Source organism: Homo sapiens, chromosome 22 (assembly GCF_000001405.40).
Source record: "Homo sapiens chromosome 22, GRCh38.p14 Primary Assembly".
Lineage (NCBI taxonomy): Eukaryota > Metazoa > Chordata > Mammalia > Primates > Hominidae > Homo > Homo sapiens.
The window spans coordinates 23,461,584-23,489,321 of NC_000022.11; the positions used below are offsets into that span (position 1 = coordinate 23,461,584).

At 41.1% G+C, this 27,738-nt stretch overlaps 1 long non-coding RNA gene across 4 annotated transcripts; it reads right to left on the reverse strand.

Moving 5' to 3' along the window:
- Window positions 1-502: 502 nt before the first annotated feature.
- On the reverse strand, window positions 503-25,397 carry FAM230I (family with sequence similarity 230 member I). 4 transcript variants are annotated; one of them, NR_110539.2, is made up of 12 exons: window positions 25,296-25,397; window positions 21,485-21,543; window positions 20,992-21,022; window positions 18,834-18,917; window positions 12,294-12,355; window positions 11,795-11,828; window positions 9,225-9,580; window positions 8,732-8,753; window positions 8,413-8,454; window positions 7,754-7,904; window positions 5,692-5,733; window positions 503-1,095 (listed from the first exon to the last, which is right to left on the reverse strand). It is a non-coding gene; the product is annotated as a family with sequence similarity 230 member I (long non-coding RNA). The 4 variants fall into 4 exon arrangements; NR_165490.1 differs by lacking the exon at window positions 5,692-5,733 and adding an exon at window positions 8,203-8,264; NR_165489.1 differs by lacking the exon at window positions 5,692-5,733 and having other exon boundaries at window positions 7,795-7,904.
- Window positions 25,398-27,738: the final 2,341 nt, after the last annotated feature.

A 27,738-nucleotide genomic window follows, 5' to 3' on the forward strand; every position in this document is an offset into this window, starting at 1 on the left:
TTCTAGTGCTAAGGGATGGTTTTATTTAAAACATAAACTAATAGTTTCCAGTAGATTCCATTAAAAATATTACAGCCAGGATTTCCAGATCACACCCATTCCCACCTTTTTAGAATTTTTGACTATTTTCCAAAGTCTTGAATTCAATGAGGTGCAGGTGGAAGAAAGCGTTTACAAAGTCAGTGGGTTACAGGAGAGCTGGTGTGGGCTGAGGCAGAGTGGGTAGAGAGGCTCCTTTCAAATGGAAGCCTCTGGAACCCGCAGAAAGCAAGTGTAAGGTGGGGCAATCTTCTGGAAAGCTAACAGAGAAAGGCTTTAGACCCAACACTCCCATTCACAAACACAGACAGGGGCATCTCAATGTTTTCTTAAATCTACTCTTTCTATATAGACACAAGGAAATAATTAAAAGGGGATAATTCTGGTTTAGTTATTTCATTAAATTATCAACAAACAACTTTTGAAACAAAAACGGTAAAAAAAAGATAAAAGTGGAAGTCAATAAAATTATTATCTGTTTAATAATCTGTATCTGTGGCTCAGATACAGATCAGGCAAACCAACCAAGGATGAAGCCCCTGCTGTGGATGAAGTCTCCAGCTGTAGATGAAGCCCCCAGCCTATGGATGAAGTCTCCAGTCGTGGATGAAGTCCCCAGTCATGGATGAAGCCCCCAGCCCGTGGATGAAGCCCCCAGTCATGGATGAAGCCCCCAGCCCATGGATGAAGCCCCCAGCCCGTGGATGAAGCCCCCAGTCATGGATGAAGCCCCCAGCCCGTGGATGAAGCCCCCAGTGATGGATGAAGCCCCCAGCCCGTGGATGAATCCCCCAGCCCATGGATGAAGCCCCCAGTCGCGGATGAAGTCTCCAGACGTGGATGAGGTCCCCAGTCATGGATGAAGTCCCCAGCCCATGGATGAAGTCCCCAGCTCATGGATGAAGCCCCCGGCCATAGATGAAGCCTCCAGCCGTGAATGTCCCCTGTGTTCTCCAGGAGGTTTCTTGGGTGTGTCCCGCAGCTGCTCCGTCAATGTGGCAGCCCCGTCTTGCTCATCTGGGGGCATGTTTCAAACCCGAGAAGAAATCATAAGCCCTGTGGAGACAGTCAGTCAATATATTTCTCAGGGTTATCTGAAACAAAGAAAGATCAATTATTACAAAACATGGGAGACATTGGCTGCTCTACATCAATGCCACACATATTACTGTAGAAAGTCAACAGCAGCCTTGAAAGTGGTAGAACCACCCCAGAGAACACAATGAAATTATAATGTTTTATTACATAAAAATAGAAAACCTCAGTGTGACATGAAGTTCAATTTAAAAAAGTGCAAAAGATACATGGTAAACCGGAAAAAAAAACACGGCCAGGCATATCACAAAGGTTTTAATATACTTAAAATGTAACAAGTCTCTAAATATAGGGAAGAAGACTACCAACAATCACATGTAAGCATGTTAGAGACGTGAACAAACAATATAAAGGAAAAAACAGAAATGGCTTTTAATCTCATTGAAAAAATTTTAAAAATCACCTCAATACCACTTTAGAGACAAAATTTTAGAAGTTTCACATGTAACTATGTTAGTGTGGCTGTACACACATTGTTGCTAAGAAAGCCCCATTAGGCACTTGTGGAGAGGAATTTGGCAACATTTAGCAAAGTTGCAAAGCAGTAACACTTTGACCTACAATCCAACATCTTAAAATCCATCCTGAAGGAGACTGGCAAAAATTGAAAAGACTGGTGCACAAGACCATTGGTTGCAACATTAGAAAATGTAGAGCATACTTCTAAACTTGAATGTCAATAAAAATCATAATGCAATTAGATAATTCTTATGAATAAATAATAAAATGTGTGCAAACTGAAAATTGTGAGATGCAGCAAAGAGCATTATGTGAGAGCAATCTATAAGCTTAGTTGTTTACGCTGGAAACTCAGAAAGGCTGAAAGTTAATTAAGCATACAACTCAAGTTAGAAAAAAGTAGCATCAGAATAAATGCAGATAATGTAATGGAAGGATAACAGATGAGAAGAGAAATTGATGAAATAGAAAATAAGGACAATACTAGGGAGAAGTAACAAAGCCAACAGTTGTTTTCCAGAAAAGTCTAATACAAAAGTCATTAGTGAGATTTATCAAGAAAAAAGGGAAATAATCAAAATTCATATCAGAAATTCATAGGAAGACATAACCACAGAAGTAGCAGAGATTACAAAACAATCAGTGGATATTATGAATAAATATATGTATTCAAATCTACATATGTATTCATTATGTATGTAAACATATATGAATATGGATATCATGCCAAGACATTTTAAAATGTGTACAAAATAGACAAAATCCTAGAAAGTATAATTTTCTAAAATGAACTCATGAAGAAATAAAAATCCTGAATAGTTCAGTAGCTTCTATGTAAATTTAATCAGTAGTTAAGAAGTATCGGTCTTTGTCTCTTTCTTTCCCTTTCTCTCTTTTTCTCTCTCACACACAGAGCCCTAATAGTATTATTGGCTAAATCCAAAATTACAGTGGAGTTGTCATTCTAATCCAATTAAAATATTTCCATAAAATTAATGAAGGGGGCTACTTTCAATTAATCTGATGAGAATATTATCTCAATACCATACAAAAAATTAAGTACAAAAAGAAAAATTGCCTGCCAATCTTATTGAAGAGCACTGGCATAAACTCCCCAGAGGAGAAGGCAATGACCACGCCTCCAATAGGAAGAATCAATACAAACAAAACAGTGTGCACCCCAAAAAAGCATATCCTGACTTGCTCAACCTTATAGCCAATATTTAAAAAAATCCGGAACACACAGGGCCATGGGAGTGGCTGTTGGAGAAATTTTCATGAAGGAAGAAAGATTACAACTAAGTTTTAAAATGCTAGTTTTGTTTGTTTTGTCTTGGAGAGGAGGTAAAAGTGGGAGTAAAAATAGGGAGTTTGGTGTAAGGTGAGAAAAGCAAAGGAAACCTGCATGGATGGGCTGAAGGGTGTGATGGGAGAACAGTGAGAAGTACGTTTGGGGAAGCAATTGGAAATAGCAGCTAAGCTTAATCACAATCTATCAAAAGGGATTTGTCGAAGAATTAATGTGTGACTAGAAACAGGGAGGTTATGGGCTTGTCAGCTCGACAGTGGGCACTCAGTTCCACTAACGAATGATGCCCGTGTGGACAGACAGAATGATGGACAGGCAGATGAATGCGTGGGCTTTATGTGAAACAGGTCCTCTTGGTTGTTGACAAGATACTGTTTTAAAGTTCCATTTTGCCATACTTCGAATAGCTTTTCATTCGCTAAATTTAGCTACATGTAAAATCACTAAGGCAGACTTCCAGAGTTCCCACATGAAAATCAAATGTAAACCAGCTGTGACCTACTTCGACACCGTCATCGGAAGTCAGAAGTTGAGCTCCTTTTTGATGTTTAAAGCCTGCATAATATTTGCTGTATTACTATTCAGTGTATTACTATTTCCTTTGTGATGGAAATTTGGTTTGTCCCAATTTTCTATTCTATTAAAACACTGCTACATAGAAAATCCCCATGCACATATTTCTCCTAATTGTGGAAATATTTTACATAAAATACTCTAGACGTGGATGAAATTACCAGGTTATTAGAATTTTAAAATAGGTACTCCCAAATTGTGCTCTTACAAATTATATGAATTCATAAGCTTCCAACTGTTATGGAGTTACCCATTTTGAGAAATCTGTGCTAAAATGACCAAATCAATGCTGATGACAATGATCAGGATAAGTACACTGGGAAGACAACAAAATGATTTAGATCTTAGACAAGTCATGCTAGGTGTCTCCACTGTTTCAGTTCTTGCATTCATTCTTGGGCTTTTTCCTTTTACCAAATAAAATAGCTCCTTGACATCACATGAGTCCATGCTATGCTTAATGAGTATTGGTTAGTAAAAATGCCTATGACTAGTCATCTTCATCTATGCAAGTAAATATTAATTCATAAAACACTTCAAATGTAAGCAATTAATAATTAGTGAATGAAAAGTACATAATATATCAATTAGAAAAAAATCACTATTAAAAAGACATTATTTGTGTGATAAAAGAGATTGCCATTTTGTATTTTTCTACAAGGTTAAAGAAAACTAAGTCAACGTATACAAGTGAGTTTTAAAAGCCTTTACGCCAGGCGTGGTGATTCATGCCCATAATCCCAGCACTTTGGTGGGCCAAGGTGGGCGGATCACCTGAGGTCAGGAGTTCGAGACCAGCCTGACCAAAACGGTGAACCCTCATTTCTACCAAAAATACAAAAAATTAGCCAGGTATGGTGGCATGAGCCTATAATCACAGCTACTTAGGAGGCAGAGGGCAGGAGACTCGCTTGAACCTGGGAGGTGGAGGTTGCAGTGAGCCGAGATAGTACTGTTGCACTCCAGCTTGGGCAACAAGAGTGAAACTCCATCTCAAAAATAAACAAATTAATTAATTAAATAAAAGCCTTTAACCTAGAATGCTGAGTAAATTGGCCAAAAATGCTAACCTATGCATTTCAATACTATAGGATTCACGTTAATAGAAATAACCAGATGAAATGCTTCTGGTATGTCACCTTCCCTACCCACATAAGCCAGTGTTTTTTTCTGTGAATAACAAAAACAGCAGAATTTACTTGCCTATCCGTAAGAAGTTACCACTTCTGTGTATTGCCCCGAAACAGGTGGTGGCTGGGTGAGAAGGGGGACAGCCCTAGGGCAGGAGATGGGGGCTCCGGTATCATGGGCGAGCTTCCTAAACCTCTGCAACTTTCGGCCCCTAAATGGGATGGGCCACATTTAGCACAATGCCCAGAACAAAGTAAGGATTTGACACATCACACTTTTCTCCACATTGTTCTGTCATCAGCCACCGCGACCTGCACCTCCCAGCCCACTGGGCTCCGGCTGTTTCCATCACATGAAGAATGATCCAGAGCCTGGCCTCCAGCCACCCTCCTGGCCTTGCTGCTTCTCACTCTGCCACTGACTCTTAACAGACCAGCCTGGGTGTCCTCAGACATACCACACCCTTCATTGTGGGAGTCATGCAGCCCTCCCTGCTCCTTCCCCAGGGAGCCACGGGGCTTTCCTCCTCAGGAAGACTCTGCAAGCACCTGGATGAAGGGCCCCCATGTCTCTCATCCTCCCTTAATTTTTGTCACAGCTCTCCTTCCTTCCACTCAGTGCAGTGCACACTGATTGATCCTCCATCTTCCCCAAAAGACAGGAACAGCACGAGCAGTAGAGAGTAGATTCCAAGGATAGAAAAAATAGCCAGTGATTTCTCATTTCCATTGATCATCAATGAAGAAAATGTATCCTGAAGGTCGTGTACCTCCTATGGGACTGCTGCATCCTCAGCCTCCTGAATTTCAGCCCAGCACCTTCCTCCCCAGCACCGCAACAGGTCAGGCCTTACCAGCATCCCTGTCTTACTGCCTTTGTGCAGAGCCAGCACCAGGACCAAGGGAGGCCTTGAGATTGTCCCTCCCCAAAAATTTGAGAAATAATCCTTTACGTCACCAACAAAGCACAGCCTTATGCATTGGTGGTCAGTCCCTCCCAACACCTCTGTCACTGTAAAGCTGGCAGCGCCCCTCCAAGGTTGGCCTTCCCAGACACTGGACCTCTAGGTGACAGTGTGTCCTTACCTTGAGGCCTGGGCGCCCAGTCTATCCTGTCCAGTGAGCGAGCTGTGGAGAAGGGGGGATTCCAGGTTAAGGGGAGACTAGCAAGGCTCCTGCTTTTATGCTGCCCTATTGGGAAGGCTGTTAAAGAAACACAAGTTGTGAAGCAGTGAAGATAGAACATGTTTTCATTACTTAAACCAATACATTCCACAGATGGAATAATAAGAAATGCTACAACCAAGCTAACTGAATCCAACAGCATATCAAAAAGATAATCCACCATGATCAAGTGGGTTTCATACCAGGGATGCAGGGATGGTTTAACACATGCAAGTCAATAAATGTGATACATCACATAAATAAAATTAAAAACAAAAACTCATATGATAATCTGAATAGATTCAGAAAAAACATTTGAGAAAATACAGCATTTCTTTATGATTAAAATCCTTCAGCAAAATCGGCATAGAAGGGACATACCTTAAGGTAATAAAAGCCATCTGTGACAAACCCACAGCCAACATTATCCTGAATGGGGGAAAGTGGAAAGCATTCCCCCTGAGGACTGGAACAAGACAAAGATGCCCACATTCACCACTTCTACTCAACATAGTGCTATTCACTACAGCATTGGTTGTAAAAGCAAGACTGGAAACAGAACAAATGGATACCCATAATGAGTGCTTAAGTAATTTTGGGAATAGTCATAGGGTGCAGTACTTTATAGCTCTGAAACAATACAGTGGATTTACATTTGAAAATGTGGAATGATAACTAAGGTGCATTGCCCAGTGATATGTGCAGAGGGGCAGAGGACTTTGTGTAAACACAATCACACATCAGCATGCATTCCAGGTGCATGTTTCTATTTGCACATAGATTGTAGAAATGATATGCAAGCAAAAATGTTGACTTGGTGTTTGGAAGTTCAGAGTGGAAGGGAAACTTCCTTGCTAACCTTTTATGATATTTAGAGTTATTTCTAACCATGAATATGTAATACATTTAGAAATCTTAGCTAACAAGAAAAGCCTCTGGTCCTGGCCTCCTGCTGGCACATATCATATGGACATGGTCCTGTCGTGCTAATGTGTGCAAACTGAGAAAAATCCAAGAATGGGAGTCTGCTTTTTTCATCATACAAATAATTGTTAATAGAAATAGTATGATAATTATTGCTCATTGATATACCATGAATATTCTATTAGATAATAATAAATTTCTGACATTTGAACTATACTTACACATGGAAATTGAAATATATGGATGAAATATTGTGGCTTATACAGGCAATTGTTTTATTGGCATTTTACAAACTGATCATCATTCCTCATGGCACGGGTCCATGTGATATTAAGTAGCTTGTTATGCTTGGGAAAGGCAGTGATGACCACAAGAATGACTTCAACTACTAAAGTACAATGGAGATTTCAACAATGTTTTGTTTAATATTTAAATATTTCATTGTGCTCCCAGGCTTTTTCTCACCCTAATAGCTCTCATCCATATCATGTGGGTCCCATTAATACAGATACCTCCGAATGCACCACTCTTCCATTATATCCAGTCAATTGCTGGTTACCTTGGGCCTACAACTGGGGGAGGGCAGGGGCTGCTGGCCACCTCCTCATCTACAGTAAGAGTCAATGAGCAGTTAAGTGGACACTGAAAACCATTTATCCTGCTGGAGTGAGAAATAAATGGTTTCTTTCTTTTTTTTTTTTTTTTTTTTAGATGGAGTCTCGCTCTGTTGCCCAGGCTGGAGTGCAGTGGTATGATCTCGGCTCACTGCAAGTTCCGCCGCCCAGGTTCATGCCACTCTCCTGCCTCACCCTCCTGAGTAGCTGGGACTACAGGCACCTGCCACCACGCCTGGCTAATTTTTTTTTTTTTTTTTTTTTTTAGTGGAGAAGGGGTTTAACTGTTAGCCAGGATGGTCTCAATCTCCTGACCTTGTGATCTGCCTGTCTCAGCCTCCCAAAGTGCTGGGATTATAGGTCTCCGCACCTGGCCATAAATGGTTTCTTTCAATAGGGTAATAAAATGCATCTTTTCCAAACTATTTATATGACTCAAGGCCCACCTCAATTTCAGATGTGATTAGCCTCAATTCCTGATTCTCACCAAGGTGTGTAATGTCATCCACGGCCCAGTGCAGAGGAACACAGGTGTTGCCGTCAAACTGCCAGGGTCCGATCCCGCCTCCATCACTCACCCCGGGAGCTCCCTTTAAGCTAGGAGTCAACAGCAAGGATGGAAACATGAGTGCTTTTTAAAGTCCTAAAAGTTTAGAGGCCGACTGTCAATTTCTCCTGCACCCCTGGGCACACACCGGGAGAACTTTGTCTCCAGGATCAAGTAAGTGCCTGTGAGAGAGTTGTGTCCCTCAGATTCTGTTCACCACAGGTGACACTCAATGCAACCCCAAACCTCTTCTGCACAATCCCAAGGGGTGCTGACTAATCCAACCCAAAGGCTGTGATGTTTGGCAGAGGCAGAAAAGAAAAGGCCAGGTGTTCCGGGAAAGATCACCTTCAAATAACACAGCACTCTCATAGCCCAGAGAGACAGTTCTTACTATTATGCCAATAAACCTGGAAAAGACCAAATCCAATTTGACACATATTTCCTGTTTCGTTTTGATTTCATGCCCCCTCCCTCAACCTCCCAAGCAGCATGGATACCCCGAAGGCCCCTGGGAACTCTCTCCCATTGGCTCTTACGTGGAAAGTAGTTACCTACCTGCAAAATCCTCGTCATCAGACATGCTCTCCACAATCAAATCTTTAGAAACACAAACATCAGGATAAGTCATTAGAGAGAGGCCCATCCACTCCTCCCACCCCAGCTGAAGCCCGGGTGCTTCACACAGGATCCCCTGGTGTTTCCTCTGGGCTCACAGATATCCCTACAGCCTCTCTGGACATGGTTTTATACTTGCAAAATCATTTGCTCTCACCAGACCCCAAATCCTCCTTCCCAAAAGGAGCCCAGAATCAGGTTTCTGTACCCTAGAGGCAATGTTTTTCCCTCAGGAAATGAGTTATTTCAGGGTACGTACCATTCTCCAGTGTCAATGGCTCCTGCAATTATAGAAAAGAAAACATTAGGGGGTGAAATGTTGCCATGCACGTCACACAGATCTGATATTCTCTCAACAACTTGAGAAAATTAGAAGGGGTATAGTGATTGAGTCAGAGATCGAAGTCCCCCAAAACTAGCACGGAGGACACCTGTGGAAAAGACAACACCTTTTCCCACAGAATTTATCTTTAAAGTGTATTTAGATTGGCAGTTTCATAACTCTTAATCCACAGGGGAAAACTGCTGTGGAGGGAAACACCTCTACATTGCAGTGGATCATGGATGCTGCCATCTACCACGCCCCAGTGTGCCCGGCATGGGTTGATGAGAGGCTGCCAATCAGTAGCACCACACCAAGGGAATTGCAGATGTCATAAATAGTCCACATTGGCAGATGTTCATGTCTACATCTGATTGGAAAGAAGCCAGGAAAGCAACATTTCTGTTCAAGACAAAGGAAAGTGTCTTACCTTGGTAGCATCTTTTTTACAGAGGTATCGTACAGCATCCTCATTAGTGATGTCGTATACAGTGTCCTCATAAGAAATGTCTTCTATAGTGTCCTCATTAGAGATGTCATGTACAGCAGCCTCATTACAGATGTCTACAGCGTCATTAGAGATGTCACGTACAGCAGCCTCATTAGAGATGTTTACGGCATCGTTAGAGATGTCACATACAGCAGCCTCATTAGAGATGTCATGTACAGAAGCCTCATTAGAGATATCTACAGTGTCCTCATCAGAGATGTCTACAGCATCCTCATTACAGATGTCATATACAGTGTCTTCTTTAGAGATGTCTTGTACAGCGTACCCACAAAGAGCTAGGAGAACACAGAGTAAAGGTCAGTGCCCTGGTGGTGAATCACCCAGGGAGCTTGCTTGGTGTGGGTGCCTGGAGGTGGCTGATCACAGCATGGGCCCAGCTGATGCTAGGCCATCCTCCCGGGTGGACCTGCACTAGTGAAGCTAAGGGACATGACTCAGAACACTTTCTGCAGTGGGAATCAGTTTCCAGGTTCAGATATGCATTATCCAGTGAAGTGGGGAAATATAAAAAAATAGAAATTGACAAATTCATGAAAAGCCTTCCATGAGTGCAAGTGTGATTTTTTTTGTTAACCACTTTACATTCAGTATGCATTCATACATACAAAATATTTTTGCAAGAAATCAGAAATTTTAATTTTTGTCAGTTATGTTAAATCTAACTTAGCTGTCAACATAAAGATTCTATCTCATTTACTTTGCGGTCTCCAGAAAATCTAGCACATAGTAAGTAGACCAAAATATTTATTAAATGAAAACACAGAGCAGGGGTGGGGGGCTGGTAGGCAGACCGAGTTGCACCTGATTACCTGGATGATAATAAACTGCACAAAACCTTGATCAGATTAATATTGAAACTGCCTTTTGCTCGGGCTCTTTTCCCTTGCAGAAGAAGGATGACCAAGAAGATGAACAGGGAAGAAATTAGAAACAGAGGCCTTTGCTTACTAGCTAAGGGTCACCTTCTATAACATGCAATAGTCTACAAGTGGCCTTGAACTCTGCCGTGATTCAGTGAGAGTTCCCTCATGTCTTCTACCCAGGTTGAAGTCCAGCGAAACTGTAACTGTGCTCTTTGCAACTTGCAAGACCACACTGCTTCTGCATTTGCTTGTTGTATGAGATTTACACTTGTTTTAAAGCAACATTTTGTTTCAGTTGGGCTGGTGGCCATACACTGCACTAGGCAGTCAATAGTGAGATGGCTCCTCATGGAGGAGGCTTGGCTTGAGGCTGAGGGTCTTTAACCCACATATACAAGAGAGTTGCCACTAAGGGATGGAAGCCAGGCTAATAACCAAGTGCCACACAGAGTTCCTATCTGTCCCTCCTCACCATTTTTGGCTGGCAGGATTTGAGCATTTTAGGGCTTGGGAAGATAGTATTACTAAATCTACTAAAATACATCACCCATCCTTATAGACTTTGGCCAGTTGCTGAGCAAATTAACTTCACAACTGAAGTGGGCCACACTGGCCTTTGTGGTCCCCCACTCCTCTTAGAATTTGTGAGCGTGGGGCCTACTGGAGGGTGGAAGTTTGGAGGAGGGGGAGGATTGGGGAAAATAGCTGATATTAGGCTTAATATATGGGTGACGAAATCTGTACAACAAACTCTTCATGACACACATTTACATATGTAGCAAACCTGCACATCCTGCACATGTACCCCTGAACTTAAAATAAAAGTTAAAAAAAAAAAAAAGGATCTGTGAGCTGACCCAAACACCTGGGGATCTTTGTGCTTTTGACGCACTGATGACTATGCCGGTCCGTGGGGAGATGAGCCTATAACTGCCCTGGGTTGTGTGACCACGGAGGCCACTTTATGATGATGGGCAGTGTCTGGGGCCTTTTGGGCTCGGTGCTTTAGGGCTTATACATGAATGCTGGACTCCCTGTGTGGTGGTGAACACCCCATGACTAAGTGCATGTCAGCGTCAGCACTGGCCCACACTCCTGGGTTCGTGTTTTCACTTTTTCATTCAGGAACTCCGGAGCTGGGGCCCCTCCCTTGGCCCTTCAGGTTCTCCACCTGAGCAGTGGGGATAATAAGGCAGACCCGGGAATGGCTCTGGTGAGGGTGGAGGAGTCACTGTACAGAAAGAGTAGAGCGAGGGTGGATTTCATTGTTAGAAGTGGACACTGGCGATTGGGCTGTATAAATGGGAAATCTCTCCTGAGAAAACACACAGCCTCACCTGTACAGAAACACACACATTCACACCACACGATGCAGCCTCACACAAGACACCACCAATCCTCAAGCACCCAACTCAGCACCACCCAAAAGGGAGCACAGCTGCTTCCTCAAAAATTGGCCATAACTTTTCCCTGGGGAATTCAGGTTTTTAAAAAAACACTTCCCCTATGCTTATTTCTATCACGATCCCAGGATCAGGGTGGCTCTTCACATTGAAACCTGCAAAGATGCCACACTTTTCTTGGCATCCAGATTGTTTTCTTGGCAAGTAATTCCAGAATACTTACCAAAACCAGGCCTCAGAGGGGCCACCCGCACCACCTGCAATACAGAAACAAGACTTTATGAGGGGTACGTCGTGTTGTGGATTGTTTGCACAAGGCTCTGTTTCTCTCAATGAATACTGAAAACTTGATCAGAAAGTGTAGTCAACTTCAAGGCTCCCCAAACAAGGGTAGGATACACACTGTAAAAGACATCAATTTCTGGATGGTGGATCTCTCAGGTCCACATAGGTTGGCAAGTGCAAAATACTGAATCCAAGGAGAAGACATTGCTTCCAAGGACAAGGACCCCAAGGACACGATCTACAACCTGAAGCCATCACAGCTAAATGTCATTTTGGATTACATATCAGTTGCTAAGAGTCACTTCTTCCACCCCCTCAGAAAACTGCATTTAATACCTGTCATGGACATTGTCATTTTTTCACATGTAAAGTCAGTTGAAAAAGAAAGATGCCAAGAAAGGAACATTTCTATTTCAGGGAAAGCAAGGCAACCTTACCCTCGCGTTGACTGGCCTCTCTCCACCTCCTCTGTCCTTGTGAGCTGGAGGCTCCTCAGAGGCTAGGAGGACACAGAGCAACGGTTAGTCATCGATGCTTTTGTTCATGAGTTATTCAGGGAGCTCTGCTTAATGTGGAGAACAGGACAGTGTGTGTGGATGTGTTTCATTAAAAGCACAGCTTGAGCTGCTGCTAGATAATCTTCCCTCGTGGAAAGACAGGCAAGAACGAGGAGCCGAGGAGCAAGAAATGGAGTCCCTGGCATTTTGCTGATGGCAACTTAAGGCAACGGCAATGAGTCAGTCTACAAATGGCACTGAAGTACACGCTATAATTTGATGACAGTCCCACCGCTCACACTGCAAGGTTTGAAACCCAGCTAAATGATTTTCTAAACCCTATAAAACAATATTAGCTTGTAGGATTGATGTCCCAAGACCATTTTTACCTCTGTGGATCCACAGTGGCTGTCACTGCAGTTATTATGTGTTTTAGCATTTTGCACTTGAACAAAAGCAAAGTTTAACAGACAGATTGGATTCAATTCTAGGCAAAACAGTCTATTGTATTTATTCACTAATCCTTTGTTATAACTGCTAATGGGAGAATTAGAAATACTGAAATTATATCCTTTAAAATTAATTAAAGCATAATTATAATCACACAATATTTTTTCATCCAGGCCTCCTTTTCTTTGTCGTGCATGCATAATTAATTGAGGATGGAGAATATCTACGCTTGTTCAGGCCAGCCAACATACGACAGTTTACTTCAAGAGAGGAGACATGGGTTGAATGCTGGTATGGTTTAACTCTGCAGCGCAAACAGCTGCAACAAGTGTGGTGAACTAATCACCAGATGGCCCTTTGCTGCTTTATCATTGTGCCTTATGTGTAGCTTGCGAGATTTGATTACGCCTATGTTTTGTGGTGATCATACTTTCAACTATTCCTAAAATACTGTTTCAGTCTTATCCTTTTGGGGTCAACTGCTGAGGATTTCATACAAATTAATGAAGTTTGTGAATCTACAGTTCTACACAAAGGGGGAAATATTTGCAAATCATTTATCATGTAAGAAACTAAAATTTAGAATACATGTTAAACCCCCCAAAAATCTACAACAAACTAACTAAATAAAAATCAGATGACTCTTTAAAAATGGGCAAAAGACTCGAACATATATTTCCCTAAAGAAGATACAGCCACAGATAGTAGCACAGGAAAAGCTGCTCAGTATCATTAGTCATTATGGAAATGCAAATGAAAAACACAAGTAGACACCAATATACACATACTAGTATGATTTAAAGGAAAATAAGTGTGAAGAAGGATGTAAAGAAATTGTAACCCCGATACATTGCTGGTAGAAATGGATAAAGTTGCAGCCACTGTGGAAACCAGTCTGCAGTGGCTTAGAAGGTTCAATATAGAACTCCCGTTAGACCCAGGAATTCTACTCTTAAAGAATAGAGAACAGAAATCAAACAGATGTTTGTATACTAATGTTTGTAGCATCACTTTTCACAGGAGCCAAAAGGTGGAAATAATCCAACCATCAGTGAACAAATGAATGTAATAAAAGCAAGGTGGTCTGCATGCAATGCTACATCATCCATCTGTAAAAAAGGAGCACAATTTTGATAGATGATACAACATGGGTGGACATTGAGAACATTATGCTTAGTGAAATACGCCAGACACAAAAGGAATATATTGTCTAATTGTACTTATATGAAGTGCCTAGAATAGTCAAATTCATACAAGAGAAAATAGGATAGGAATCACCATGGGCTGGAAATAGGGGGAAGGTGCTATGTTGCTTACGGTGGACAAGGTTTTGTAAGAAATCATCAAAATTGTGGGTGTAGATAGTGGTGTTGGTTATGCAACACTGTGAATATTTTGAATGCCACTGAGTGCACACTTTGGTTAAAAGGTTCAAATGATAAATATTTTATTATACTTATTTTCCCACAATAGAAAACACACACAGCCAAGCCCAGATGCCAGTCTTGCCAGCAGCCTTCCTTTGCCTTCAAGATTAGGCCATCATGCTGTACCTCCAACACACACCAAGGCACCTCGCTCACGCAAGGTGTGTGTCCTCCAACAAAGTTTCACACTCTAAACCCAGATAACTTTTGAAACCCAAGTTCTGTTGATCCCCTACTTCAGGTGCTCCATAGATGCTCCTTTGTCTACAAAACACTGCCTCAGACAATGAAATAGTCCAAAGTGACCAGCAGAATTTTTATGTTAATTCTGATATTGTGCTGTTAGTACAAGTATTTTTCCCCTTCAGATTTATGTCTTTGTTACTGATAAATGTAACTGATAATGCTTTTGTCAGCTATGTTGCCAAGCATATTTATATAAAAATATACTCTTAGATTGTTTTGAGAACTTGACAAAGATGATAGCAACAATGATAATCTTATTTGTTTTATACTAATCTTTATGTGTTACTTTCATCATTTCTTACATGTTGGGGCCTACCATACATTGTACAGTGAAATTAGTGCTATGCATCATGGTAAGAATATAAATTGGCAAAGCTAATTTAGAAAACAGTTCTCTTGTTTCTCAAAAAAATTAGGCCGGACGCAGTGGCTCATGCCTATAATCCCAGCACTTAGGGAGGCAGAGGTGGGTGGATCACCTGAGGCTAGGAGTTTGAGACCAGCCTGACCAACACAGCAAAACCCTGTCTCTACTGAAAATACAAAAAGTATCCAGGTGTGGTGGCGTGTGCCGGTTGTCCCAGCTACTCGGGAGGTTGAGGCACAAGAACTGCTTAAACCTGGGAGGTGGAGGTTCCAGTGAGCCGAGATTGTGCCACTACACTCCAGCCTGGGCCTCAAAAAAAAAAAATAATAATGACCAAAATGTCATTATGCATTACATGACTGCGTATGATGCTCAAAGTTACACTACTCACCATAGAAAAAAACAAAAATAATTAAATGTCCATTAACTGGTAAATGAATAAACACTATCTGTATGAATAAACACAGCAGACTATGAAGGAAAACACATGACCAGCACCTGCTAAAGCGTCAATTAACTTCAAACATAGTATGCTAAATGAAGGAAGTCAGATTCCAAATATATATATATGTCCATTTCTATTAAACAAGCAGGAAATTTATGGAGATGGAATATCATAGCAGTATTGCTTAGGGCTGGAGATGGGAGTGGGGATTAACTGCCAGTGTGCAAGAAAGAACTTGGGTGAGGGAAACATTTTTAAATTAGATCATGGCGATGGGTGCACACAGTATCAATTTAATAAAGCATCAAATTGTAGACCTTTTCAGTGGGCAAACTTTAGGGTGGGTTCACACCCAATATAGGTGTTAAAAATAAATTAATGTTATGGCAATTCTGGTTGGGTTTTTAACAAGCCAAGAGATATGCTGTTAAAGCAGCATTAATTCAAATGGTTGTCACAGGTCACTTAAAGTTAATCAGATAGTTGTCCTGTAAATATATAGCGAATGTTATCCATGAACTTCCTGAATCTATTGCAATAATCACATTTTCTCTCCATTAACCTTTTGAGTTAGCTAATTTTATTTATCGCATTTTCAATGTTAATCCACCATTTCATATTTTGAGATTAACGCACATGAGTCAGAATTCACAGTATTTTAAAATATCGCAGAATTTAATTTACCTTATCTGGTTTTGGTTTCAAGACTATACTAGCCATTTCATTTAATTGTACATGTAGGGTATTCTAATTTATGGAAAACTATTACATCTTTCTTGTTTTTTTTTTTTTTTAAGAAATTACTTCTAGGGATCTATATGGTAGAGTCCATGGAGAATTGTTTTAATTCTTCATTCATGTCTTCAGTGGGTATAGGATTGGTCATATTGGTCATAGTTTTGTGCTCGGATTTCAATAAGAAACTTGTGGAAGAACCTGAAGGGTGGGATCTTTGAGGGAGCCTAAGACAGAGCAAGACAAGCTAAGAAGGAGGGCAGTGCCACAGCAGAACTGCCATTGATGCCCCCTCGCCTAGATTGCGGAAGAGACATCCAGCTGTAGACACTGAGGTGCAGGAAAACAATGGAGCACCATCAGAGAAAGCAGTGCCCAGGAACAAGGAGGCACTGATGGTGGCAAGGGGCAAAGACAGCTGCCACGAGGCTGTTCACATGAGGGTCTCAGGCTGCATAGACACCCACACCAGCTGAGGGGTCCTGGTTTTCATAAAGTGTGTGGCTCAGCCAGGCCACCAACAAGCAGTTCACAAACAGTAGTAATACGACACTTTCCAAAGACCTTACTTGAGTAACACGGTGATCCTCACAAATTTCCAATCAGGATGGTCGCACAGTTCCATCTGCTTTAGGACACAGAGCCTGCCCGTGTCTGTCCTGTCTGCTGACCACGGGTCAGAGGTGCAGGCTGCACTGGGGAGTAAGAATGTCACCTTCTCAACTTTGGGAAAACTCCCTGCCAGAACTGAGAATGGCCCTTTCTAAAGAAGGAGGCTGACCACATCAGGTTGGCAGATGGCCAAAGATTCACTCAGGGAGAGCCCACATCCTGGGCCATCTTGGGTGGTGGCAAGATGAGATGGATGACTGCTTTTGCAACACATACCTGACAACAAAAAATCAACAACTGTAAGAGAGCCAGAAAATCTCCAAATATTTGCACATTAGCAATGCACTTTTAAATAACTCATGGGTTAAATAAGAAGTCTTAATAGAAAGTTAAAAATACCTTTACATTAAATGAAAATGTGACTTGACAAGATTTCTAGATGTAACAAAAGCAGTCTGTAGAGGAAAATTTATAGCATTGGATTCAATATATTAAAAATCACAAGATCTAAAATCAGTAATATCATGTTTCAATTAGGAAACTGTAGAAAATAAAGGAATGCAATGTAAAGCAAGTAGAACAAGTAACAAACAGCATCACAGAAGTCAATAAAATTAAAACACTGAAATCATCAGAAAATCATTAAAACCTAAAGCTGGTTCCTTGACATGCTCATTACAATGAATGAACTTCTATGCAGGCTAACCAAGAAAAAGAAGATAACACAAATGACCAATTTCAGAAATAAAAGAAGAGCCGTCTCTACTGAACTGTTGAGCATTAAAAGGATAATCAAGGAATATCATGAACAATTCTATGACTGCAGTTTGATAACCTCAGTGAAATGTATTAAGTCCTTGAAAGACAATTTTCCCAAGGTCAACTAGAATCCTAGATCATTTGAATAAGCTTAGGTCTGTTAAATAGGTTGAATTCACATTAAGAGCATTCTGAAAAAGAAAGCACCAGACCCAGATGGTTTCTCTCATGAAATCTACCAAATTCTTCAAGAGGTGAATAAAAACATCCACTCAATGCAATATTATTTGGTGATTTAATGTGCATTTTATGCCATTAAGGCATAAAAAAGACATGAAGGAAGCTTAAATATACATCAATTTAGTGAAATAAATTTATCTGAAAAAGCTACATAATATATGATTCCAACTATACGACGTTCTGGAAAAGGCAAAACTGAAGCTACAGTGAAAATATTAATAGTCGCCAAGCTTCCTGGAGAAAGAGGACAGAGATTAATGAGCGAGAAGAGGAGATTTTTAGGAATGTGAACATATTCTTTATGAGAACATAATGGTGAACATAATGTTATACATATTTCAAACTTCACATGTATGTGTAACAGAAAGAATGAACATTATGCAAATGATAGACTTCAGATAATAATGTCAATATTTTCTCATTACTTTTAGCAAATGTACCACATTAATGTAAGATGTTATGTTAATAATAGATGAAATTAGGAAGTCAGGGTGAGGGGACAGAATGATATGGGAACTTTGTGTATTATATGCTCAATTTTTTTTTTTTTTTTTTTTTTGGAGATGGAGTTTCACTTTTGTTGCCCAGGGTGGAGTGCAATGGCGCCATCTCGGCTCACTGCAACATCCGCCTCCTGGGTTCAAGCAATTCTCCTGCCTCAGCCTCCTGAGTAGCTGGGATTACAGGCGCCTGCCACCACACTCTGTTATTTTTTTGTATTTTTAGTAGAGATGGGGTTTCACCATGTTGGCCAGGCTGGTTTCCAACTCCTGACCTCAGGTGATCTGCCCGCCTTGGGCTCCTAAAGTGTTGGGATTATAAGCATGAGCCACCACACCTGGCCATATGCTCAGTTTTTATGTCAATTTAAAACTCTCTAGTTAAAGAAATATATTAATTTAAAAATAATAATATAGCACCACTCTTTCAGGGAGATCTATGCTAATGTTTAACCATCAGGTAAGTTCTAGACATTGGCTTGAAACATTGTCCATCCTTAAACATGAACCAAAATTGACTTTTAAGTGGATATTTACTTTTGTGGTTGTAGCAATACTTACTGACTAAGCAAATTAGAATTCTGACACATTAAAAAATATGGCTTAATCTCTTCATAGATTCCTCTTACATATGGGACACTGAATACTCCCCACAACTGCGATTATTGAATCAACTTAATTAATGAACTTCCACAGTACCTTCTTGTGGCTGTATCTTCTTTCTCCAGAAGCCATGATGCCTCCAATGCTGGTTGGTGTACAGGCTGTATCTTCTCAAAATTTCTATCAGAGAAGATGCTGGTTAATGCATTTACAATAGAGAGGACTGTTGACACCTTGCTGACAGAAGACCAGAAGAAAATAGTGATCATGTGTTCCAAGTTTAATCTTATGATCCCGCTCTTTAAAGGCTTCCAAGCAGAGCCCGCTGAATCAAAGTTGGGTTTCAGGAAGATCATGGAGTTCACTGAGCATTCAACACCTCTATCAGACAGACTTCGAGGGCAGTGAAGGCTGACTCCATATCACACAGAGACAACTTAGATCTTTCTTCTCAGAAGTCCAATAGTCTTCAGAGGAACCCCCCATTCTTACACAACTATGTCATCCAGGTCTCAGGCAAAAGCCCCCAGTATTTTGTAAAATTTGAGCTATCACAGTTTTACTAGCTTTTATGTTATTACAAAGCTTTGTCCTCTTTTAGTACGGATTTTAGCAACAGTGACCTAGTTAGTAAGAAATAGAAGAAACTACTGGAAGAAAGCGTGGAAAGAACACACGAGGTAAAATTTGACCTAAAATGACCAGTCTCATTCACTAACCTCACCATAGTCTTATGGGTTCAATGGACCTGTCCAATCCTTTGCTCTGTTCTCTCCATCACCTTCCTGTGTAATTGTCCTCCACCCCACATATAATAGAAACATTGCACAGGGGAGCTAATCACCTCTTTTATCCCCCACTTCAGGCTCATGCATAAGTTTACAGTAAAAGCCTTTTCAAATGACTGCTTTAATTGCTGCTACGGCACGTATCATCAGTTGAATGGGAACTCTCATGTGACTTTAAGCAAGCCTTTATTGAGAGATGTGATTCAATACTAGGGACAGTATTCTAGTGTAGTAAATCATTGATTTTACGTTATGAAGATCATCAATTATTGAAAATGTATAAATAACGAAGCCCAGCCTTACTCTTCAATGCTGTGTGTGTAAATCCACTGAGCGTGCTGACCCCCATGCTTACACCCACCTGCTAACACAGGGAGGATCCATTCAGAAGGGAGGCACAGCTCCAGCACTGACGCTCTCCATGCCAGCTTCACAAGAGAGTTGCCATGAACAGACACCCAGATAACCACCAAGTGGTAATTTGAGTACTCAATGATCATGATCCCTAAAGTACGTAGCTCAGAGGGCTTGTGGTGAACTGTGGCCAAGACTCTAAAGCATCTCCCCAATTCTTACTGGACTTAAGCCATGTCTTGAGGAGACCCAGCTATGACACGCAGGCACCACATTGTCCTACTTAGTGCCTCCCTTAGTGTTTCAGAACCTGTGATTTGATCAGAAACATGGGCTTTCTATGTTGGTTTCACACTAAGGACTATGTGACACCTGCAGGAAGATGCCTACATAGCTACATTATAAGATCACTGAGCCTCTCTTATGTGAGGGATGGCGTTTGGGATCGCTGCAGGCGTGGGTAATTCCAGGCATAGAGGGTGCTGGAACTCCCTTGCATGGTGAATAGTGATCCCTTCACTGGCTGATAAATAGAAGTTGTAGTTCAGGCCTTCAACAATGGGACCGTATGAGTAAACATCTTGGCTCCTCACTTCATAGCAAGTGAGCTGGGGCACATTTATTTCTGTGGCTTAGTTTCTCCATCTGGTGTGGGGGTTCAATAAACAAGCTCACAACATATGGCCATGATGAGGTTTGAACTAATGTAAGTAAAGTATGTGGTCTGATTTGTTAAATTAAGAAAAATGGCCCTGAGAGTTGTGCTGGGTAAACACACTTTTTTCCTAGGGGCAACACACATAGACACACATTCACAAGCAAATCAAGCAGACTTGCATATAGACCACCCCACCCCACCCCTGCCTTAATACACACCCCCCACACATGACCTAATGTGAACACCACCTAATGTGAACACGTTTCCAGGAACTATACATAGGTAAAAAGAGTTTGTCACCTGGAAAACCAGTTTCTTTTACTATACCCCACATCCTCATTCCCACCAGGTGTCTTGGATCATGGAAGCTCTCCAGACCAAAGCCAGCAGTTAGGCTCCAGATTTCCTACAGAATCTTTTTCTAACAGCCAGTGAGTGATTCCAGAATACGTACCATTGATTGGGCTCAATGAAGTCACCTGTAACTAGAGAAGGAAAACACTCTGAGAATCAGGCTATGCTATGGATGGTTCGCACAGGTCTTTTGTTCACTTGGAAACTCTGGGCAACCAAGATGGGAAAGAATGTTCAAGTCAAAAGCCCCAACTCTAGAGTAGAGTTTCCTTAGGAAAGCACTGGAGCTTTTCTGGAAGGATGTTTCTATCTAGACAATTTTTGGGTAGCAATTACAGAATTCTTATCTAAAGTGGAAAACTTGTTCCTGAAGAAAATATCCCTTAACATGCAGTGTACTATCTGACACTGCCAATTGTGTATGTCCTCTGGAATCAGGTGTCAGTTGGTAAGATACACCTCCTCCATTGCCAAGGAAACATTATCTAACATCTATAGTGTAGTGGATAATTTTCCCATAGTTGATATCAACTGAAAAATAAAGGAACCAAGAAAACAACATTTACATCTTAGGCAAAGACAGGCTACTTTACCATGGTAGTAGAGTAGGGCTCCCTTTTCACACGCTTTTTGGAAGGCTTCTTCAAGTCACCTAGGGGATGTGGAAGGACACAGCATGGCTGTCAGTTCATTGGTGGTGCTACTCATGAATGACTCAGGGACTAGAACTTAGGGGTGTGCCTGGTTAACAAGCATGGATTGAGCTTCTTCTGGACCATTCTCTTCATGGACCAAGGAAGGCAAAGAAAGAGCAGGAAGGAAATGAGTAGAGCCCTTGGCTTTCCAGGCAATGGCAAATGAAAGCAACATGAAATAAACAAACTCCAAATGAACAAATACTAAAATACATGCTAGGATTCAACCACAGCGTCCTGTCACTTCTTCAGATGCTTTAAAAGCCCACAGGACTATCACTTCTTCTTGACATCTACCAAGTCCCTTTCAACCTCCACAGACCCACATACAGTGCTACTGCATTTATCATCGAGGGTCTGGGGTTCTGCTCTTTTTTATGTGTGAATTTTTTAAAAACTAGATTTAATTCCATGCACCAGCATTAATTATATTTATTTATTTTCTTTGTTATAAAAATAATCAGCCAGGTGTGGTGGCTCACACCTGTAATCCCAGCACTTTGGGAGGTTGAGGTAGGTGGATAATTTGAAGTCAAGAGTTTGAGACCAGCCTGACCAACATAATGAACCCTGTCTCTAGTTAAAAAAAAAAAAAAAAATAGCCAGGCATGGTGGCATGTGCCTGTAATCCCAGCTACTCAGGAGGCTGAAGCAGGAGAATCCCTCGAACCTGGAGGCGGAGGCTATAGTGAGCTGAGATCGTGCCACTGCACTCCAGCCAGGGCAACAGAGTGAGACTCCATATCAGAAAAACAAAACAAAACAAAAAAACCGGCAGGGTGCAGTGGCTCACGCCTGTAATCCCAGCACTTTGGGAAGCCAACGTGGGCGGATCATGAGGTCAGAAGATCAAGACTATCCTGGCTAACACAGTGAAATCCCGTCTCTACTAAAAACACAAAAAATTAGCCAGGCGTGGTGGCATGCGCCTGTTGTCCCAGCTACTTGGGAGGCTGAGGGAGGAGAATTGCTTGAGTCCAGGAAGCAGAGGTTGCAGTGAGCCGAGATTGTGCCAGTGCACTCCAGCCTGGGCAACAGAGCAAGACTCTGCCAAAAAAAAAGCCCCCCCCCAAAAAAATCAATTATTAAAGATTAGAAAATACTGAAATGCTTATATTTTAAAATAACCACTATAACCGTACATTTTCCGTTCAGTCTTCCTTTGCCCTGTGTTTGCAGTCATCATGTGAGGAGCTACCTATGTTCAGCCCAGGCAACCCACAGGGAGAGAGGGCAGAGCGGGGAGATGGCCCCTGGTGAGCACTGAGGCTCTTCGAACCAGCTGTCAAGGGAGTTGCAACCAGGGTGATACATGAGACTAATGATTAAGTGGTATTTTGTGTTCTTGTCTTGTCCCCAGGTTGTGTAGCTCACAGACTTTTTTTTAACATTTCTTTAGCGGTCATTTGAAGTTCATAATGCCATCAAATATCAATAAAGGGTCTTCCCATTATTTATCAGCTTTGGGATATGTGCTGAGGAGTGGCCGAGCGCTGAAAGAATGTGATCGGTTGTCCCAAGTGCTGTTCTCCAACTCAAAATCCGCAACCAGTTCAAAAGCATTTGGACTTTTATGTGCCTTTCACATAAAGACTATGACATACCTAAGTTATTCATGTACTAATACCTGCCCTGAGCTATGTGACCATGGACACCATGCTATAATGTGGCTAGTGTGTAGGAACTCTGCAGGCTCAGATCATTCCAGACATACATGCAGATGTTGGAAGTCCTTTGCACAGTGACTCATGATCCCACAGCTGAGTGCTGAGGGCAGGTCAGTAGTTCAGAGCCTCAGCATTGGGGCCCTATGCTTGGGTTCCCATCTTGGCTCTTTTGCTTAGGGGCTCATAAGCTTGGGCACATTCATCTCCGTCTTTTTCTGCCCAGCAAAAGATGATAGTAAATCAATCATGCCATATGTCTGTGGTGATGGCTGAATGATTCGATGTAGGTAAAGTATACAGCATAAGTGCTCATGAGGCTTAATTATCAGTGAAATGTCTTGCTTTAGATTTCACAGCTTAATAAGGCTCAGAGACTCATTCAAGTCCAGGATTCTGAACTCCCAACCCATTGCTCTATGAAATACACCTGCTTGGCCTAAACCCAACCACTTTATCATAATTCAGACCCAGTTTTGAAAGAAGCAGATAAAGTTGTCAAAAGTGCTGTGTCTGCCTGAGTGCACACTCAGTGCCCTCCATGATAAATAATGGGAAGAACCGTTATTGATATTTGATGGCATTACAAACTTCAAATGACAGCTATAGAAATGTTAAAAAAAAAAGTCTGTGAGCTACACAACCTGGTGACAAGACAAGAACACAATATACCACCTAATCATTAGTCTCATGTATCACCCTGGTTGCAACTCCCTTGACAAAGGATACCACTATCTGCCACAACGACCCAGTGGCCTGGCTGGCACAGACAGGGGCAGAGCAAAGGGCAAGAGATCCCTAATCCCATCACTATGACGATAGGGCATCATAGACAGTTCAGGGTGAAGGCACAATCCACATTGTGAGGTCCAACTGCTGCCATGTAGACAGGCGTGCTTTTACATATACAGGAAGGTCATTGAAGATAAGTGTTTTATATCCACGATCAACATATGAGATGACCATGAAATGAACACCAGTGTACTGGGTGGAGCAGCTTATCTATTCAGTCTTCTGCACTAAAACCTGTGAAAGAATATCATGTTGCCTTATTTACTAACAAATACAAGTGCCTCTAAACTTAGTTTCCAACTCACAGAACTGATGAGCACTTAGCTCCTAGAGAGAGCTCTGGATGATGGGTCGGGAGAACTAAGTCACACAATACATCAAAACAGCATTAACAAGTAAACAGGTTTTCAAAGCTTTCTACATGCAAACTTACACAATTATCCCTTTAATTTTTATCTTCATATATATGTATATGATCTATTTGTTTCTGAGTATAAATAAAACTGTATGTTCTTAGTTAACAGTCTCTACCAATTCATTCTATTTATCTTTCTGTGTTGAAATACTGCATTTCATTGGGAAACAAAAAAAAAAAAAAATTTGACTAAGACTACTCTGGAAAGGTGAGTAGGTTGGGTGATTGACTGTAATTGACAATTCTATGATTTTGGATAACTCCCAAAGCATAAAAATAAATGTTTTTTATTTCACACACAGACAATACGCATTCTTATTACATTTAAAATTGATATGTGAATGGACATGACTTACTACAAATTTATTAAACTAAATACACATTTCACAACAAAAGAAGAGAGGAAGGAAAAACATGTCAAAAACAAAGATAGGTACATTTTATTGTGTGAAAAGCCTCAAACCCATCTGTACTACTGTGGCTTTTCTCCAAACTTTTTGAAAGTAATGATTTCATAGGTTCTTAATTAGGTTAAAAACTACATTAAAATAGACTTTGCCATATTCTCCTCAAGGGAATAACTTAATTTGGGGCGGGAGCATTGAAGGGTGCAGGATGTAAAAGGAAATGATACATATTTTTTAAATGAAGAAAAAGTTCAAAAGCACCCTGCTTGATACAAGAATCAAATATATAAAATGAGGAATAAAACATAACCACAAAACTTATTTATAACTGCATATGGAAAATACAGAGGATAATTTTTTAAATAACATATTTTGAAAGTATTAACTAGTAATTTGAAAAGACAGCATTTGACAGGCCAGTATGAACATACCTCGAATGCAGGAAAAGTGGATCCCCATAAGAAAAATCAAAATCAGGAAAAATGAAAGCACAAAGGTTCAATCTGCTCTGACCTTCGAAAAACTCAGCACAGACAGTGGCACTTAAGACTGAGGGCAGGAGATCCCTAATCCCATCACCACGGTGATGGGGCATCACAGACATTCCCGGGTGAAGGCACAATCCACACTGTGAGGTCCAACTGCTGCCATGCAGACAGGTGTGCTTTTACATGTACAGGAAGGTCATTGAAGATAAGTGTTTTATTTCAAAAACTGAATCCCAAGCCTACACATTATTATTCTGTGTTTCTTAAAATAAGTTATGAGATGGGAAATAGGGTACCCCTAAATATAGCCAATAGTGAGAATTTCAAATTGAAGAGGGGCACAACTGATTATTCTGAAAACAAGCAGAGATTCCATTCTTTTTTTTCTTTTTCAACTTTTATGTTAGATTCAGGGTGTACACGTGCAGGTTAGTTACCTGGGTATATTGTGTGGTGCTGAGGTTTGGGGTATGAATGATCTCAACACCCAGGTACTGAACATGGTACTCAGCAGTTTTTCAACCTTTTCCTTCCTCCCTCCCTCTCTTAGCAGTCCTAGTGTCTATTGTCACCATCTTCGTGTCCATGGGTACTCAGCGTTTAGCACCTACTTATAAGAACATGAGGCGTTTGTTTTCTGTTACATTAGTTCACTTAGTGGCTTCTAGCTCTAGCCATTTTCCCGCAAAGAACATAATTTCATTCTTTTGTAGCTGCATAGTATTCCATGGTCTATATGTACCACATTTTTATCCAGTCCACTGTTGACGGGCACCTAGGTTGATCCCATGTCTTTGCTATCGTGAATAGTGTTGCAATAAACATACGAGTGCGTATGTCTTTTTGGTGGAATGATTTGTTTTCTTTTGGATACATACTCAGTAATGGGATTGCTGGGCTGAATGTTAGTTCTGTTTTATGTTCTTTGAGAAATCTCCAAACTGCTTTCCACAGTGGCTGAACTAACTTACATTCCCACCAACAGTGTATAAGCATTTCGTTTTCTCCTTATCCTTGCCAGTATCTGCTATTTTTTTTTACTTTTAAAAAAATAGTCTTTCTGACTGGTGTGAGATAATATCTCATTGTGGTTTTGATTTGCATTTCTCTCATGATTAGTGATGATAAGCATTTTTTCACGTTTGTTGGCTGCATGTATGTCTTCTTTTGAGAAGTGTTTATTTGCCCCTTTTTAAATGGGGCTGTTTTTGCTTGTGGAATTAAGTTCCTCATAGATTCTGGATATTAGACCTTTGTTGTACGCATAGTTTGTGAATAATTCCCCCCATCCTGTAGGTTGTCTGCTTACTCTGCTGATGGTCTCCTTTGCTGTGTGGCAGCTCTTTAGTTTAACTAGGTCTCACTTGCCAAGTTTTGTTGCAATTTCTTTTAAAGACTTAGTCATGAATTATTTCCCATAGGCCATGTCAAGAATGGTACTTCTGAAGTTTTTCTTCCAGGATTATTGTAGTTTGAGGTCTTAAATTTAAATCTTTAATCCAACCTGCGTAAATTTTTGTATATGGTGAAAAATAGGTGTCCAGTTTTTTTCTTTTTTTCTTTTTTTTTTTTGAGAGGGAGTCTTGCTCATCGCCAGGCTGGAGCGTAGTGGCCATTTCGACTCACAGCAACCTCCGCTTCCTGGGTTCAAGTGATTCTCCTGCCTCAGCTTCCCGAGTAGCTGGGATTACAGGCACGTTCCACCATGTCCAGCTAATTTTTGTAATTTTAGTAGAGACGGGTTTTCACCATCTTGGCCAGGCTGGTCTTTTTTTTTTTTTTTTTTTTTTTTTGAGACGGAGTCTCGCTCTGTCTGGGTGCCCAGGCTGGAGTGCAGTGGCGCGATCTCGGCTCACCGCAAGCTCTGCCTCCCAGGTTCAAGCCATTTTCCTGCCTCAGCCTCTCGAGTAGCTGGGACTACAGGCGCCCGCCAGAACGCCCTTCTAATTTTTTGTATTTTTAGTAGAGACGGTATTTAGTAACATGGTATTTCACCGTGTTAGCCAAGATGGTCTCGATCTCCTGACCTCGTGATCCACCCACCTCGGCCTCCCAAAGTGCTGGGATTACAGGCATGAGGCACCACACCTGGCCTTTTTCTGTAATTTCTAAAAGCTTCTTATATCTGCAGGAATGCACAGATTGACTAAGTCAAAATGTTTCAGGGACTAATATTTAATAATTTATTAAACATTGGAAGGCCAAGGCGGGCGGATCATGAGGTCCGGAGATCAAGACAATCCTGGCTAACACGGTGAAACCCCGTCTCTACTAAAAATACAAAAAAAAAAAAATAGCCTGGCGTGGTGGCAGGCACACACACACACCCACAAAACTATCAAGAAGATTATTCAGAGTAGAAAAACAGAAAGGAAAACAGTCTGAG